Source organism: Homo sapiens, chromosome 5 (genome assembly GCF_000001405.40).
Source record: "Homo sapiens chromosome 5, GRCh38.p14 Primary Assembly".
NCBI classification, from domain to species: domain Eukaryota; kingdom Metazoa; phylum Chordata; class Mammalia; order Primates; family Hominidae; genus Homo; species Homo sapiens.
The window spans coordinates 58562200-58563190 of NC_000005.10; the positions used below are offsets into that span (position 1 = coordinate 58562200).

At 47.1% G+C, this 991-nt stretch overlaps 1 annotated feature.

Annotated features, from left to right (window-relative positions):
* Window positions 231-756: an enhancer, noted in NCBI's record as "NANOG hESC enhancer chr5:57858257-57858782 (GRCh37/hg19 assembly coordinates)". NCBI's record gives its function as "activates a minimal SCP1, AML or CMV promoter by ChIP-STARR-seq in primed H9 embryonic stem cells {active_cell/tissue: H9 hESC(primed)}" and the evidence as "EXISTENCE:reporter gene assay evidence [ECO:0000049][PMID:30033119]".

Below are 991 nucleotides of genomic sequence, written 5' to 3' on the forward strand. Positions count from 1 at the left end.
GGCCTTGCTGAATGCTTAGGGTTACGTGAGTAACTTCCTTTTAGTGGTGATATTTATTTCTCCAAGTCTAACTGTTCAATTTTCCTAGCAGTGTAAGTGCTGGAGTGATGACCCAGGGAATCACCTTGTATTTCCTTGAATGGCTATTATGTCCCATGTAAGCCATTGCTTCTTTTGAAAAACCGGGTTCCAGTTTTTGGTCTCCAATTTGGTTGACATGTGACCCTTGGCAATTCACTTTACCTTTAGCTTTGTTTCCTCACCTATAAAATGGGATTATAATAATAATTCTTTTTATTTTTTTTTTAGTATTTATTGATCATTCTTGGGTGTTTCTCAGAGAGGGGGATGTGGCAGGGTCATAGGATAATAGTGGAGAGAAGGTCAGCAGATAAACACGAGAACAAAGGTCTCTGGTTTTCCTAGGCAGAGGTCCCTGCGGCCTTCCGCAGTGTTTGTGTCCCTGGGTACTTGAGATTAGGGAGTGGTGATGACTCTTAACGAGCATGCTGCCTTCAAGCATCTGTTTAACAAAGCACATCTTGCACTGCCCTTAATCCATTTAACCCTGAGTTGACACAGCACATATTTCAGAGAGCAGGGGGGTGGGGGTAAGGTTATAGATTAACAGCATCCCAAGGCAGAAGAATTTTTCTTAGTACAGAACAAAATGGAGTCTCCTATGTCTACTTCTTTCTACACAGACACGGTAACAATCTGATCTCTCTTTCTTTTCCCCACATTTCCCGCTTTTGTTTTCGACAAAACCGCCATCGTCATCATGGGCCATTCTCGATGGTCGCTGTCTCTTCGGAGCTGTTGGGTACACTTCCCAGACGGGGCAGCCTGGCAGAGGCGCTCCTCACTTCCCAGATGGGGCTGCCAGGCAGAGGCGCTCCTCACCTCCCAGACGGGGTGGTGGCCTGGCAGAGGTGCTCCTCATATCCCAGACAAACAGCGGCCGGGCAGAGGCGCCCCCCACTTCCCAGAC